The 14,827-nt window shown below is 59.3% G+C and overlaps 1 protein-coding gene across 3 annotated transcripts in view, besides 2 other annotated features; it reads left to right on the forward strand.

Annotated features, from left to right (window-relative positions):
- The window catches only part of HIP1R (huntingtin interacting protein 1 related), a 28,214-nt gene that overhangs the window by 5,014 nt on the left and 8,373 nt on the right, over positions 1-14,827 (forward strand). For all 3 annotated transcript variants that reach the window (NM_001303099.2, NM_003959.3, NM_001303097.2), the window contains exons 2-8: positions 8,270-8,333; positions 8,705-8,847; positions 9,035-9,091; positions 10,114-10,194; positions 11,074-11,150; positions 11,475-11,536; positions 14,282-14,422. In NM_001303099.2, coding sequence (NP_001290028.1) covers positions 8,270-8,333; positions 8,705-8,847; positions 9,035-9,091; positions 10,114-10,194; positions 11,074-11,150; positions 11,475-11,536; positions 14,282-14,422 — 625 coding nt within the window. The remainder of the gene's footprint in view (positions 1-8,269; positions 8,334-8,704; positions 8,848-9,034; positions 9,092-10,113; positions 10,195-11,073; positions 11,151-11,474; positions 11,537-14,281; positions 14,423-14,827) is intronic.
- Positions 5,621-6,452: an enhancer, noted in NCBI's record as "H3K27ac-H3K4me1 hESC enhancer chr12:123329929-123330760 (GRCh37/hg19 assembly coordinates)". NCBI's record gives its function as "activates a minimal SCP1, AML or CMV promoter by ChIP-STARR-seq in primed H9 embryonic stem cells {active_cell/tissue: H9 hESC(primed)}" and the evidence as "EXISTENCE:reporter gene assay evidence [ECO:0000049][PMID:30033119]".
- Positions 14,107-14,607: an enhancer, noted in NCBI's record as "H3K4me1 hESC enhancer chr12:123338415-123338915 (GRCh37/hg19 assembly coordinates)". NCBI's record gives its function as "activates a minimal SCP1, AML or CMV promoter by ChIP-STARR-seq in primed H9 embryonic stem cells {active_cell/tissue: H9 hESC(primed)}" and the evidence as "EXISTENCE:reporter gene assay evidence [ECO:0000049][PMID:30033119]".

The following is a 14,827-nucleotide window of genomic DNA, read 5'->3' on the forward strand; positions in this document are numbered from 1 at the left end:
AATTGCCACAAAAATTATGAATAGGAGAATTTACATTCTTTTTCTCCTACTAAATCTTTGAAATAGGTATGCACTGGACACTCACAGCTGATCTCAGTCTGGACTCACCACCTTTCCAATACTCACAGCCCGCACCGGCCAGCGGCTACCGTGCCGGACAATGCAAGTGTTAGAATCACCTGGTGGCTTTTAGAAAAGGGCAACATTTACGTGTATAGGAGTGATTTGCCCGCAGCATGGCATGGGCGTTGAGCTCGTTGTTCCTGGGCATGCGCACTGCTGTCTCGCCCCGTGACATCCTCTGCTCGGTTCCACCCCATCAGCCCACATGGTGATGCCCTCGTGGTGATGCCCGGCAGGCCGCTGACTTCCCGACCCCTGGGCTGCATATTGCCTCCCTGGCAGAGCTATTCCAGAGGCTGTTCTTGGTCCAGGTTGGGGTGGGAAGGGGCCACCCATCCTTGACCTCCCCCTCCCTGTCTCTGATGTGTTTTGATGCCCATGACACATTCCTGAGCGCCGCTTGCTGTCTTACCATTTGGCCTGTTCCTGTAGCTTTGGGGTGTGCCCCAGGAAGGTCCGAGTCATCTTTGTACCCTCTAAGAGGTGGAGAGATGCCAACTGTGGCCACGTGTGGAATGGTAGGGCAGTCAAGAGCAAGCTCCAGGTTCAGCCCCTGGCTCTGTCCCTTCACCACTCTGCCTCAGTTTCCTTATCTACAAAATGGGGGCAATAATACTACACACCTCCTGGAGTGGTTGTGAAGAAATTTACAGGTGTTCATAGTGCCTGGTGTGTAGTGAATGCCGTGTAAGTGTTGGCTGTTATGTTGTGTTCAGAAGAGCAGGCTGGGCTGAAAGAGAGAAACAAGCTCCCTGTTGAGCTCTGCCCGGTGCCCTTAGATTAGCTGTAAGCGGAGGCCTTGTGTGCTGGGGCGGTTGGGGAGAAAAGTGGATCTGCACAGAGGTTGGGGGGACTCAGGCAGGTGGGGACAGCCCTTCCCTGGAAGAGTGAGCCCAGAGGTGCCACATTATGAAGGCTCTCCAGGGTTGGGAGGATATTCTGGGGGACGACAGCCTCAGGAGGTGCAGACAAAGCCAGCAGGAGCCTTGCCTGGCAGAACTGCTCACCCTCTGAATAGGGACAGGCGCAGACGAGGCCCCTTCTCTGACCTGATCCAGAAGCCAGCCTCCCAGCCAGCGCTGCACCGGTCATTCGCGAATGAAACCCAGCTGGCCACTGGATCCCAGCAGCTTAAAGTGGAAAGCCTCTGAGTGGAGTCCAGGCCTGCTTGGCCAAGGGACAGGGATACCCAGCCGGCTAACCTGAGACGCCTTGGCTGCTCTGTTGGCAATGCCCTTACCCGCCCCCTCCCCGCCCAACTTGGTAATCTGCGATGCTAACTTGAATATCACCTCCTCTGTGCAGCCACCCGCTGCCGTCCTCCTGCCCAAGCCTCTCTGTGCTGCCCAGTCCTCATGACATTATTTGCGCTGCTTCCACATCTGCCCTGACACGCTGTGGCTGGCCCAGCAGAGCGGGAGGAAGCAGACAGACATGGGGTGGGCGCATGTGTAGACCAGGCTCGCCTGAGAAGTGGGAGTGTGTCATCTCCTTGCCGAGTTCCCTGAGCAACTGCTCAGACCTGCACCAGCCACCTACCCTGGGGTCATCAGGCAGGGCCGCGTCGTAAGTGGCTGGATGAGTGGATGCTCAGGGGCCAGTGGTCTCCCTTCTTTGATGCTGTCTTCTTGGTGAGGTCTGAAAGGCTCATGGCCATCCATTCTAGGGAATGACTGAGGCCTGGAGAAAAGTTTATTTGGGGCGAGATTGTTTTTTCTCTGGCTAAAATAAACATGATCCTCAAACTGCAGTAGGTTCATCTGCTTGGAGGTGACTCAGGCTCCTGGCTTTTGGGACAGACGGGTTTGTGGAGTGATGTCACCAGGGCCCAGGGAATGAAACTGCACGACCTGGCTGCCTGTCACTTCCAGAGCCAGCCTGGCAGAGGGGTGACGCAGGAACAGTCCTCCTACTACTGGGTGTCACCCACAAAGCCTGGGGCGGAGGTGGCAGTGGGTCAGGCGGCAACATTGTAACCAGTGTCCTGGGGAACCTGGGCTCTCATGCTCCCCTCGGGAGCTTTCCTAAACGCTGAAATGACGGAGTGGCCAGGACCAAGCAGGCCTGGGTGAGAGTGAGGGGAGATACAGGTTAAATGGAGCGGAGCAGTTGCCCCTGACTTCCTGTCTGCTGGAGCTGACCCAGCTGTCCGCCTCGCTGCTTTGCGTGTGGCCATATCCCGGCCTCCTCAGCTACAGAAACCCTGTGTTTGCTCTGTCAATGGCCTTTGAGGGGACAGACGCATTTGAATGAGATCTCTCTGTCCTTCAACCAACTCTTTGGAAATGTTAAAGCAAAATAACCTACCGCTCTGCCAGCGTCCGTCCGTGTGCCCCAGCTCTTTGAAGAACGTTCTTGTCCCTGCCAAGTGCTGCTGTTAGGTGCCACGATAATACAGCACAGGGAGGCTTACGTCTGATTCATTTCAGCGTTGATTTTAAAAATAGAAATTGTTTTATAATTACTTTTACTCTGCAGCTCTAGTGGATAAATTATTAGCTGGAGAAGGAGAGACTCAGTGCCCTGAAGTCGTCCAGTACTTGTCTTTGAAAGAGCTCTTGTCCTTCGAGTGTTCACCCTTCCATTTGCCCAGTGGGGATTTGCTGACAGCCAGATGTTGGTTTGGGCCTAGAGATACAGCAGGAAGGAAGATGTCCCTGTATTCGGGGGTTGGAGGTGGGGACAGAGTATGATCGGTGGACAGACAACTCCGGAGCCTCCTGGGCCACAGGGTGCCGCGGGGTTGGCGTGTGGGGCAGCCGCTGCCTGGAGCCTCCCAGCTCAGTTGCCTGGCTTTGCTGACAGTGCCCATTCCTGCGGTCTGTTTCCATCTGGACTCCACATCAGGCCTGGGCCAGCAGCCTCTCGGGAGCGTCCCCTGCCTCACCCTGATCTCCCCTCTTCTGAGGCAGCACTCACTGAGATGCTCGCTGGGGTGTGCCCCATGAGTCTCAGTCCAGGGACCAGTGCAGCTCTGGGCTGCTCACGAGTCAGCGGGCTCTGTCTGGCCTGATTGTTCCTGGAAGCAGGGCAGGTGTATCCTGAGGGCTTGGGCTCCCCCTGGCCACTGGACTGAGCTGAAGGCCGCAGCCCAGAGGCAGATGCCCTCGCCCCAAGGGATGGGGGTAGTGGGAAGGGCCCTTGGCTCTGCCAGCCCCAAGGCCTTCGTTAACTTGAGATTTGAACAAATCCTGATCCGGAGCCCACTCGCAATTTGGAGGCATGTTAGCAGGCCCTTGGGGAGTGGGGCTCCTGTGGTGGGACGATAAGGATGTCTATGCTGACACACTTCTCCCACACCCAGGCCTAGCCCGCACCCTGAACTGTGAAGGCCATGCAGCCCAGGGCCGCCTGGGAGGGGCCTGAGGGGCTCCATCTCCATCTCTGGTCCATGTCTGGCCCACATCTTTTTGTTATTTATGACCTTGGACAGGTGGTTAACCTGCAGCCTCAATGTCCTCCCTTGCCCACCTGCTCCGAGGTTCCTTGTGAACATTAATGAGGCAACACTGGAACAATGCTGTCTGCTCGGGGGCCCAGTACAAGGCTGAGCTCAATAAAATTGAATTTATTAATAGGTTATTGAGACCTGTCTGCTGGCCTTATGGCATAGAGTATGTTCTTACACACTTGGCGATGCCAGCTATCCTGAGTGTATCTGCAGAGCCTCACCTGCCCCCTGGGCCCCTGGGTGCCCCTGAGCTTTGTCCCCACTCTCTGTCCTTAAAGGTCAGGCCCCTCCTGCTGCCAGCACTGGGCAGGATAAGAGCAGGCTCAGAGAGTTGTGAGCAGGTGGCCCCTGGGGCGTGGGTGTGGACTCCGAGGATTTTTCGAGACCCGAAAAGCTGCAGGGTCTGTGGAACCAGGCAGGAGCTGACCTCACTCTGCTTCTGCCCCTCTCTGCTGTCTCTGCGGACCCTCCAACTCCCTTCTGCAAGGTGTCTCACGGCGCTGTGGAACTCTCTATTATTGTTTTGTTTTGTTTGAGATGGAGTTTAGCTCTGTTGCCCAGGCTGGAGTGCAGTGGCATGATCTTGGTCACTGCAGCCTCCCAGGTTCAAGCGATTCTCTGCCTCAGCTTCCTGAGTAACTGGGATTACAGGCACACACCACCATGCCCGGCTAATTTTTGTATTTTTAGTGGGAGTTTCGCCATGTTGGCCAGGCTGGTCTCAAACTCCTGACCTCAAGTGATCCACCTGCCTCGGTCTCCCAAAGTGCTGGGATTACAGGCATGAGCCACCACACCTGGCCTATTATTTTTACTTTTTAGAGGCAGGTTCTCACTCTGTTACCCAGGCTGCAGTGCAGTGGTGCTATCATGGCTCACTGCAGCCTGGAACTCCTGGACCCAAGCCATTCTCAGCCTTCTAAGTAGCAGGGGACTACAGCCGTGCACCACTACACCCGGCTAAGTTTTAAATTATTTTTGGTAGAGATGGGGTCTTGCTAGGCTGGCCTTGAACTCCTGGGCTCAAGTGATCTCCCACCTCAGCCTCCCAAAGTGCTGGGATTATAGGCGTGCGCCACTGTGCCTGGTCCCCCTCCATTATCACTTCTGTCCTGCTTCCTCCAGAGACCTCCCCTGACCCAGCCAGACACCCCTCCCTGTTGTGCCCAGCAGTGGGAAGAACAGCATCCTCCTCCTCATGCTCTCATGCTGCACATTATCACTGCATCCCCTGCAGAGCCCTGGTCCCACAGCCACTCACAGCTGTGTGGAAACTGCCCTGCCAGGCTGTGTGTGAGGCCCCTGCCTCTTGGGAGCTGGATGGGAGCTGTGGGTGCTGAGTAGCGGACAGACCCCGGGGCGGTCACATGTGTCCTTATGATCTTCCTTTCTCTAGCACTGGGTTTTTCCACCCTGAGCTGAGGTCCATAATCAATCCCTTCCACTCCTCAAAGGCTGCGCTGCCCTGAAGGGGTGTCTCTGGCAGCTGACCAGCCAGCCTCTGGCCTGTGTCAGAGCTGCTGGGGTTGTTCTGCCCGAGGGGCCACATGGGGCACAAATGCAGGCTAGAGAACCCAGGGACAGGCCTGGGCAGCCCTCTACCTCCCATGGCACGCTGCAGTTTCCCCACCTTCAAAATGGGGAGAACTACGTTCACCCCACTCGGCAGCTGTGAGGACAGCATGTTGAGAACCTCAGGACCCAGAACCAAGTATTGCTGGCAGTTGGACCTGCCTCGGGACTGTAAGCCTCAGAGCGGAGCTGCGTCAAGGACACCGTGTGGGTCTCACCACAGAGTGAGCCCGAGTGCCTGCTGCTGCGGCCCTCAGAACCCTGGAGCCACTTCCGCAAGGGAGGGTCAGCAGCAGACGGGAGTAGGTGGGACATCACTGGGACCTGGCGGGCTTCTCCCGGGACAGGGCTTAGCTGCTACTGCCTGGTCAGAGGCGAGGCCCACGGAGCAGCCACAGACTCCCACTGTGCGAGCACTGTGCCTCCTTGTGTGGCGCTCTGAGCCTGGTGCACACATCTGCCCATCCTAGACACAACGGGGCTGTGTTCCCAGAGCCAGCCGGCACCCTGCCCGGGAGGGCCCTGCTGCCACGGATCCTGTCCCCTGCCGCCAGCGCGGGGAGCAGGCAGCACTGAGGCCCAGGCGCACAGGAGACCATGCCATGTGCCCAAGGCATGCCCCGTCACACTGCATTCCTGGGGCCTCCCTCCTGCCATGAAAGTCATTTGCATGCCAGGCACTGTTGAGGAGCTGGGGGTTCAGCAGCACCTATAGGCCGATCTGCTTCCCCTCGTGTTGCTGACTGCTGGGTGAGGGGAGAGGGTGATAAATAAGGAAACACTCCACTGTCTGAGGGTGCCCGGCCCTCAGAGACCATCCATCCAGAAGGTGCAGATTTCAACAGGGCGGCTGCAGGAGGGTGTGAGGGTGCCGGGTGCGGGGAGCTGGAGCTCTGCTGAGTGGGCATCTGGAGCCTAGGGCCTGGGGACACGGGTGGCTGCACCTTGGCCTCACTGTGTCTTTCCTCGCAAAGAGGAGAGGGCAGCCCATTCCCCCAGAATGTGTTCTCTGCTTCTAGGGTCCCTATCTCAGCCCCATCCCGGGGTTTCCTCAGTGTCAGGAGAAACCCCCGCATCTCTGTGTCTACAGCCTCTCTGGTGCCAGGTCTGCACCAGTCACTTCGCCTCCACCCTTCTTGCCAGGAATCTTCCGAACCAGGTGGCAGCTCAGGTGTCGGCAGCTGGGGATGGGGTTACACACCCCGGAGACGGACACGCCTGGCTTGTGACAGGACAGCTGCTTGCCAGTGAGCTGGGGAAAGTCACAGCCCCTGCCTCCTGCCCTGGGAGCCCCTCCCCACGGGAGGAACTGCCTGGGGGCTGTTCAGAGTCACTAAGGACACAGGTTGTGGAATCAGACAGACCTGGCTTTGAACACTGCCTTTATCCTTATTAGCTGTACAGACAAGTATATAAGCCTTCTGTGCCTCAGTTTCCTCACCAGGAAAATGGGTTAGTCACCACTTCCCTGGGCTGTTGCTGGGAGGCGAGTTGCCCATGCCTGGCTGGGGCTGGGCACTCAGGATCCTTATCATCATAGCTGCTGTCGTGAGCAATATTCTGCCTCTGGGGGCATGACACTCTCAGCCATGGCTTCTCACAGTTGGTGGATACGAGTTTGTTCAAGGAAGGAGCTGAGGCCTGGGGGCCACTGGCTGGGCAGCCCTCAGGATCAGGCCCACCAGAGCCTCTGTGCATTTCCTCAGGTCGTGGTTCCTTGAGATGGGACCGCAGCTCCTCCCCGACTACAGGGAGCAGGGCTCAGGGCAGCCCCAGGACACCTGCCTGGGAGGGTCCAGTACAATGGGCCCTGTGTGTGAAAGGGGGTCAGCATCGTGCTAGGGGCCGGGGGCGGCCCAGAGGCTGCCTGGCCCAGCCCCGCAGTCCCCTAGCTCCCATCTGAGGTCCCACCAGGTAGGGCCCCCCAGCTTCCCGGGCTGGCTTTTCTCACAGAGGAAATTCCACAGTAGACCCTAATTGGATGTCCTCTGCTCCGGTGTTGGGTGGGAGAGTGCAGTGGTGTCTGGGGAGAAGGCGCAGGAGCGCTGCACTGTCCTGCAAGCCGGCTCCCTGCCCTTCAAGGCCTGCCTGGCTTAGGCCAGCCTGTGGCTCAGGAGCCCAGCTGCCCTGGCTGAGGCTGGGGGCTGCGTGTCCCATCTCAGTGTCTGCATCTGTCGAGGCCCTGTCCCTCCCGCCCATGGCCTGGACAGCTCTTCTCAGGTCACAAACATTGGTGGTGGGGGACAGAGGTTTAGCAGACCTGTTCCCTGCATGAGAAATACCCCATGCCCCACGGAGCCAGGGCCGGGTTGTAGTGATGGTACCGCCGTGAGCCCTCCTCGAGAGCACAGTCACGTCCAGGAAGCCTACTCGGAAAAGGAGGCAGTAGCCGGGGCGGGGGGGGAGGGGTGAGACTGCCATAGGTGGAGCGGGAGGGATGCTGAGATTCTGGCCTTGGTCAAGTGTGAAGGTGCCACTTGCGCAGCTCCGGGTGACAGCTGCAGACCCCACTCCTGCCTTCCTCCGCCCCTGGCTGGGCTGCAGGTGGCAGCAGGAGCTTGACACAGTTTGACAGGGTGAGGCCCCACCCAGGAGAGGGGCAGCCTATGGGGCAGTGGGCCACAGGCCCTGGGCTTTGCCTAAGTTTCCTGGGAATGCCTCCCAGGAGAGTGGGGACAATGTGATGTGCACCCTTCATGGGGTGCCGCAAAGGCCAGGTGGGCCCCAGCCGGGGGCTCCAGTCTCAGCTGCTTTTCCCCAAGGGGAGATGGGGCCGGAGGACACCACACTGGGCCATGACCTGGGGCTCAGGGCACCACATCTGCCAGGAGAGTCAAGTCGTGCAGGTTTTGGGCAGGATGGCCTCCCGGAGCCATAGCCCAGCTTTGGTCCTTGTCCCCTGACTCCTGGAGCTCTTGGTGTTCACTGTAGTTCCAGCTGCACCGATCAGGCACAGGGAAGTCCTTCAGAAGCTTAGGTTGAGGGGATTCCTGTCTCCCCCATCGCTCCACTGGCCTTGAACCCAGGCAGAATCCTGTTCAGTATTGTGCTTCTCCCCCTTGGGGTGGTGTCTCCTGGGGTGGCTGCCTGGGGCTCTAAACACTGCTCCTTTGTCCCTCACAGGCCATCAGCATCAGCAAAGCCATCAACACCCAGGAGGCCCCCGTGAAGGAGAAGCACGCCCGGCGTATCCTTGGCCGGCTCTTGGACCCAGGAGTTGGGTGTGGATGTGGGAGCAGCGTAGTGCTGCAGGTGGCCTGCGGTCAGCTGTGCCGGGGTCACAAGTTCCCTCACTGAGCCCGGGGAGGAGGGTCCTGTGCAGCTTGGCTCCTTCCCATCTCAGTCTCATCACAAAAACGCCCCCATTGGGCCCAATGATTTCCTTGTCTTGCCCTAACTCCTGTCCCCTTGGCTGGACACTGGAGCTCTGGTGACCCGGGGTTGATGGGCACGTGATTGGGGGCCGGCCCTCTTCCGGCGGCCCTGGCCTCTCTCAGCCGGGTTTGCTGAGCCCCCGTGCTCCAGTCTCTGCTTCCACACTTGGCCTTGACATTGCAGGCATCATTCTGGGCACACACCACGAGAAGGGGGCTTTCACCTTCTGGTCCTACGCCATTGGGCTGCCGCTGCCCAGCAGCTCCATTCTCAGCTGGAAGTTCTGCCACGTCCTCCACAAGGTCCTTCGAGACGGGCACCCCAATGTGAGTAGCAGCTGCTGCCTCTGCTCCCCGGAGCTGGGGCACTGTCCCGCGGACATGCGGGCTCTGGCCCTGTTCCTGTCCCCGTAGCTCCGGGCTGTTCCTCCCGCCTCGGGTGGGGAGTGCGTGTCTCAGGGCCCTGCCACACGGTCCTGGACACTCCCCCACTCCCGTATTCCCTGCGCTGCAGGTGCTGCATGACTGCCAGCGGTACCGCAGCAACATCCGGGAGATTGGAGACCTGTGGGTAGGTCCAGCCATTCTAGGTCCTGCCTGGCATTCGGGGCTTTCCTGAGCGTGTGGGGCTGAGCGAAGGGTGGCTCCCTGTGGGCAGTTCCCTGCGGGTGGCTGGGTTTTCCCAGGGGCGACAGTGGGAGGGGCAGCACGGGGAGATGCTGCCTGCCTTTGAGGGCCTGGCCCAGGGCGCTCCACACGCATAACCAGTGGGCCCTCCAGCGTCGAAGTCACCCGGGCCCTTTAGTCCTCACGAGTTGGGAAATGTGGCAAGACCACAGCCCGGGCACCTCGGTGGTTAGAGAGCCTGTGGCAGGGCGCAGGTTCCTGGGCTCCCCCAGACCTGCTGCTGAAGAATCAGGACTGGAGGTCTGCATTTTGAGCACACACACAGTAAGGCCTGAGAGCCCTGGGGGGCCTGCAATCTGGATGCACTGCAAGACCTCAGGAGTTAGAGATGTCCCTGGTGGGCAGAGGGCCTTGGCCTGGTTCTCTCTGGAGCACTGTGGGGTGCTCGTCTGCCTGGGCAGGGACATAGGAGCAGGGCAGGCCCTGGACCGGGTACCCACAGGGAGGCCTGACCAGGGCGTTATCCAACCCAGAACCACTGCCCGGACTCACTTCCCTTGAAGCGAGGAAAACACTGCCCATGGTGCCACCTGCAGATGCAGGCCCAGCTGGCCCGGCCGCAGGGGCCGTGGGGCTGGAGGAGGGAGCAGGGAGGATGTGTCCAGGCGCCCGTCGGGACGTGCCTCCCTGCCAGCACCAGCACTTTAATAAAGCGTCCCTGCTCAGAACTGGCCTGCCGCCCTGGACAAAGAGCTCTCTTCTCACAAGAGTTTCTTTGGCAGGAATGACAAGGAGGAAGATTAAGGGAAAAAGCTAGAGACAGAGAGGGTGGTTGGTGGAGGCCAGGAGAAGACGTTTGTTGAATGAAGAAGTGCCCGGTGGTGGGTCACTCTCGTGCCCAGGTCCTTGAGGACTCTTGGACGTGTTCACGAGCCGTGGCCCCTCACCCTGTCTGTCTTCACACAGGGACATTTGCATGACCGCTACGGACAGCTGGTGAATGTCTACACCAAGCTGCTGCTGACCAAGATCTCCTTCCACCTCAAGGTGGTTTCCTCGGGGGAGTCATGGGGCTGAGGGACCCGTGGGCTTTTCCCACTGTGACGTTATGGCACATGTTGGGACATCGAGGGTGGGATCTGTCCTCTCCATGAGTCTTTCCATTCACCTTCTTGTCCCAACTATGACTAAAGGGGAGACGGGGAAGCCAGGGCATCACGAAGCTCCTAGAACACTTCAGGCATTTCCGTGGACGTGGGCACGGGCTTCCCCAGGCGTTTCTGTGGACATGAGCGCTGGGCTTCCTCAGTCTCTGCTGTGCTGGCCGGGTGCTCCCCTCCTCCCAACCCCTCCACTGCCCTCTGCCACCTATGTGGGCCACAGCCTGGGTCTGCCAAGAGCAGGGTCCAGCGTGGGGCCCCCTGGTTCAGTGGCCGCTGGGTTGGGGGGGCCCTGGTTCAGTGGCCGCTGGGTGGGGGGGGCCCTGGTTCGGTGGCCGCTGGGTTGGGGGGCCCCCTGGTTCGGTGGCTGCTGGGTGGGGGGGCCCTGGTTCGGTGGCCGCTGGGTGGGGGGGGCCCTGGTTCGGTGGCCGCTGGGTGGGGGGGGCCCTGGTTCGGTGGCCGCTGGGTGGGGGGGCCCCCTGGTTCGGTGGCTGCTGGGTGGGGGGGCCCTGGTTCGGTGGCCGCTGGGTGGGGGGGGCCCTGGTTCGGTGGCCACTGGGTGGGGGGGGCCCTGGTTCGGTGGCCGCTGGGTGGGGGGGCCCCCTGGTTCGGTGGCCGCTGGGTTGGGGGGCCCTGGTTCGGTGGCCGCTGGGTGTGGGGGGCCCTGGTTCAGTGGCCGCTGGGTGGGGGGGAGCCCTGGTTCGGTGGCCGCCAGGTGTGGGGGGGCCCTGGTTCAGTGGCCGCTGGGTGGGGGTTCTCTCCACAGCATCCCCAGTTTCCCGCGGGCCTGGAGGTGACAGATGAGGTACTGGAGAAGGCAGCTGGGACCGATGTCAACAACATGTGAGTCACTCTGCATGGCTACATAGCCAGTTCCCCTCGGCTTCCCCATTCCTTCCTACCGCGTCTCACGCCCAGGCGTCCGCATGGGGCAGTGGGGTTGAATGAGTCCGTGGCTTTGTTGGTTGATGCTCACGCTCCCAGGGACAGAGGGTGAAGTTAAAAGGGTGGGGTGTACTTGAAGGACTGTCGTCCTGGCAGAGGCACGCTGTCTCACCAGAGCCATGGTGTCGGCGGTGCCCCCGTCCCCACTGGAGGGGGCGTCTCAGGACGAGTGGGTGGGTCCACCCACCCTTTTTCATTTCTTCCCCCACTTCTCTTGCGTAGCTTCCAGCTCACTGTGGAGATGTTTGATTACATGGATTGTGAGCTGAAGCTTTCTGAATCAGGTGAGCCGTAAAGAGGGGATGCGGGGGTCTGAGTGTATTGCTAAGTCCCCAGAGATGGGACGAGAAGAAAAAAGAAGACATGAGTGATCAGACCAACTGATCACTATGAAATGACCCTGGCCAGCCGCAGTGGCTCACATCTGTAATCCCAGCATTTTGGGAGGCCGAGGCAGGCAGATTGCTTGAGGTCAGGGGTTCAAGACCAGCCTGGCCAACATGGTGAAACCCTGTCTCTACTAAAAAAATATAAAAATTAGCCAGGCGTGGTGGCGCACGCCTGTATTCCCAGCTACTTGGGAGGCTGAGGCAGGAGAATCACTTGAACCTGGGCGGCGGAGATCATGCCGCTACACTCCAGCCTGGGCAACAGAGTGAGTCTCCGTCTTAAAAAAAAAAAAAAGAAAAAGAAATGCCCCTGCCCCTCCTGGGGTCCCTGCACCTCCAGGGATAGGTAATGGGGCCTCCTGGCCCCTCCAAAGCATGGCAGGCCCCAGCGGGTACATCCAGGATACAGGTTCAGCCATCTCTTCCATCCAGTGAGTGTCACTCCATCAGCCCCAAGACAGGGAGGGTGAGGAGGTGTGCACAGGAGCCACCTTGCCAGGTTCCTGCCCCAGCCTTGGGCCATCTGCAGAGCCCAGCTGGAAGAAAGGTTTGGGTCGTCCTGCCATTTTCTGCTCTAGAAAGCCTCTGAGTCACGTCAGACTTCCTAGCGAGGGAACCCGGCCGCTGTTGGACAGGAAATCTCAGAGGGCTCAGCTTCCAGGCTGGAGAACTGATTGTTCTGGGTGGCAGCTTCAAAACAACTCATGGGTGACTCAGTGCTCTCCATAAGAGGGCAAGAAGCAAATGCCTCCTTAAGGGAAAATTGGGAGTTAGAGGCAGTTTGGGCAGCCTCCCTGAGTCCCCAGGTCTGGCCAGTGCAGCTGGGCGAGCCTGATGGGTATTCAGTTCCAGTGGGTGGGAGGTGGGCTCAGAGTTGGACCCTTGTGCCTGGGAAGAGCCTGCTCAGGATCTGACATGGAGAGCAGAGGGCAGGTGTCCAAAGGTGTGGCCCCAACTGTGCAGCAGGACAGGGCTACCAGGCTCTGTGTCCTGGCAGAGATGTGCTGAGCCTGAGCCTCTCAGCACAGAGCCCACCAGGTAGGAGCCAGTTACCCCTGGCATGGGAGAAGGCCAGTGTGGGCAGGCAGTGGCCCCACGAGGGAAGTGGAGAACACTCACAGGCACGCTTCCCACCTGGTGACGCTGGTGTGTTGATGAAGCACAAATGGGGTGTACCAGCATCTGCTGGAGAAATTCCCAGATCTGCAGAGGTGACAGGTACAGGGGCTTCCCTGCCTCAGGACCTGTAACAGCAAAGAAACACAAACGTCCTAAACATGCCTCAGCAGAGGCTGCGTCTCGCTGTCTGTGCAGAGCAGAGAACGGAGGGTGGTGGGAAGAGAGATGTGTCGAATCTGGGATGGCCGGGAAGATCTAGAAAACATTCTACTGTGTGAAATCAAGCAGATTGCCGAACAGCATGGACATACGTGTTGAAGATCCAAGCAGTACTTTATGTGTGCTGTAATTTTTTGCAAGGAAAACATACTTAGCATGACATGTAATTAGAGATTACTTTTTTAAAAAGGCAAGGGGCGGCACTTTGTGTCTTCCTTCTTGCCCCTCCCCCCCAGGCTCTCTCCTGTCACTGCAGAGATTTGCAAGTGGTCCCATCACAGGCAAGGCAGGAGCAGGACCTGAGGGGCCAGGGCACAGGTCTGTGCAGCGGGGGCTGTCTGGCCGCTCTCCCGTGCTGGCCAGCTGCCTGCTCTTTGTCATTCTCTCTGCCCCAGAGAAGCTGCCAGCCAAGGAGGAGGCAGCCTCATGTTTGTCCTTTGTCCCTCCCACTTGGTAGTTCTGATACAAGGCCCGATTGTCAGGGGCAGGGGAGACGGGCCCTGGGGGTGTCAGGGGCAGGGGAGACGGGCCCTGGGGGTGTCAGGGGCAGGGGAGACGGGCCCTGGGGGTGTCAGGGGCAGGGGAGACGGGCCCTGGGGGTGTCAGGGGCAGGGGAGACGGGCCCTGGGGGTGTCAGGGGCAGGGGAGACGGGCCCTGGGGGTGTCAGGGGCAGGGGAGACGGGCCCTGGGGGTGTCAGGGGCAGGGGAGACGGGCCCTGGGGGTGTCAGGGGCAGGGGAGACGGGCCCTGGGGGTGTCAGGGGCAGGGGAGACGGGCCCTGGGGGTGTCAGGGGCAGGGGAGATGGGCCCTGGGGGCAAGCGAGGTTTCAGGGTCACTTGGGGTGTGCAGAGCCAAGCTGTGACCCTAGTGCCGTGTTACTTGGCAGAAGCCCTGCCTGTTCCCACATCTGTAAAGTTAGGCATTTGGGGTGCTCCATCGTGAGCCTCCTTCCTGCTCTAACATTCAGCGTGGGTTTGAGGCCCGTGGGCATGGAGCTATCCGTCACCCTTGTCAGTCGGGCACCTCGTCCTGGGCTCCCAGGTGGAGGTCTCTGGAAGCCCTTGCTGAGCTGGGCTGGGAGCTCCTTTGCCCTGACCTTGTTGTTGCCGTTGACCTCCTTCATGGGAGCATCTGGTCTTGACCTGGGGCAGCCACCAGCACATGAGGCTCCCGTCTTGGAGGCAGGGGGCACACTGGTGTGTGGGAGCTGGCTTAGGGCCCTGCTTCACAGTTGGACCACCTTGGACAGGTTGCCCAGCTCCCAAGGGCTCACGTTCTTCCTCCTGCCCCTTTTGCACAGTTTTCCGACAGCTCAACACGGCCATCGCCGTATCCCAGATGTCCTCAGGCCAGTGCCGCCTGGCCCCCCTCATCCAGGTCATCCAGGACTGCAGCCACCTCTACCACTACACGGTCAAGCTCCTGTTCAAGCTACACTCTTGTGAGTGGCCCAGGGCAACCCCTGGCCCGGAAGGCTGTGTTTATATGGCTTAGACATTCACTGTCAAAAAGGAAAATCGAAAAATTAGAGGTTTATTCATTTAAAAATGGCAGTAATAAACCCACTGCCCATTAATAGAAATAACATATATTTTATGAAAAAAAAAAAAAAAAAACCCACTACTTTACCAAGCAAAAAACTTAGTGAGTGGCTTGGTTTTCATTTTTACGACTAAATGCCTGGCTCGGCCAAGACGGAGGCCCCAGCTGCTCCCAGGAATCTCCCGCCAGGCACCCTGGGGGTGCAAGCGCAAAAAGGCAAAAGGTGTCTGGGGTGTTAGGAGAGTTTTGATCTAACCAACCCCTTGAAAGGGTCTCGTCCCTCGACCGCACTTTGAGAACCACT

This window comes from Homo sapiens, chromosome 12 (genome assembly GCF_000001405.40).
Source record: "Homo sapiens chromosome 12, GRCh38.p14 Primary Assembly".
NCBI lineage: Eukaryota > Metazoa > Chordata > Mammalia > Primates > Hominidae > Homo > Homo sapiens.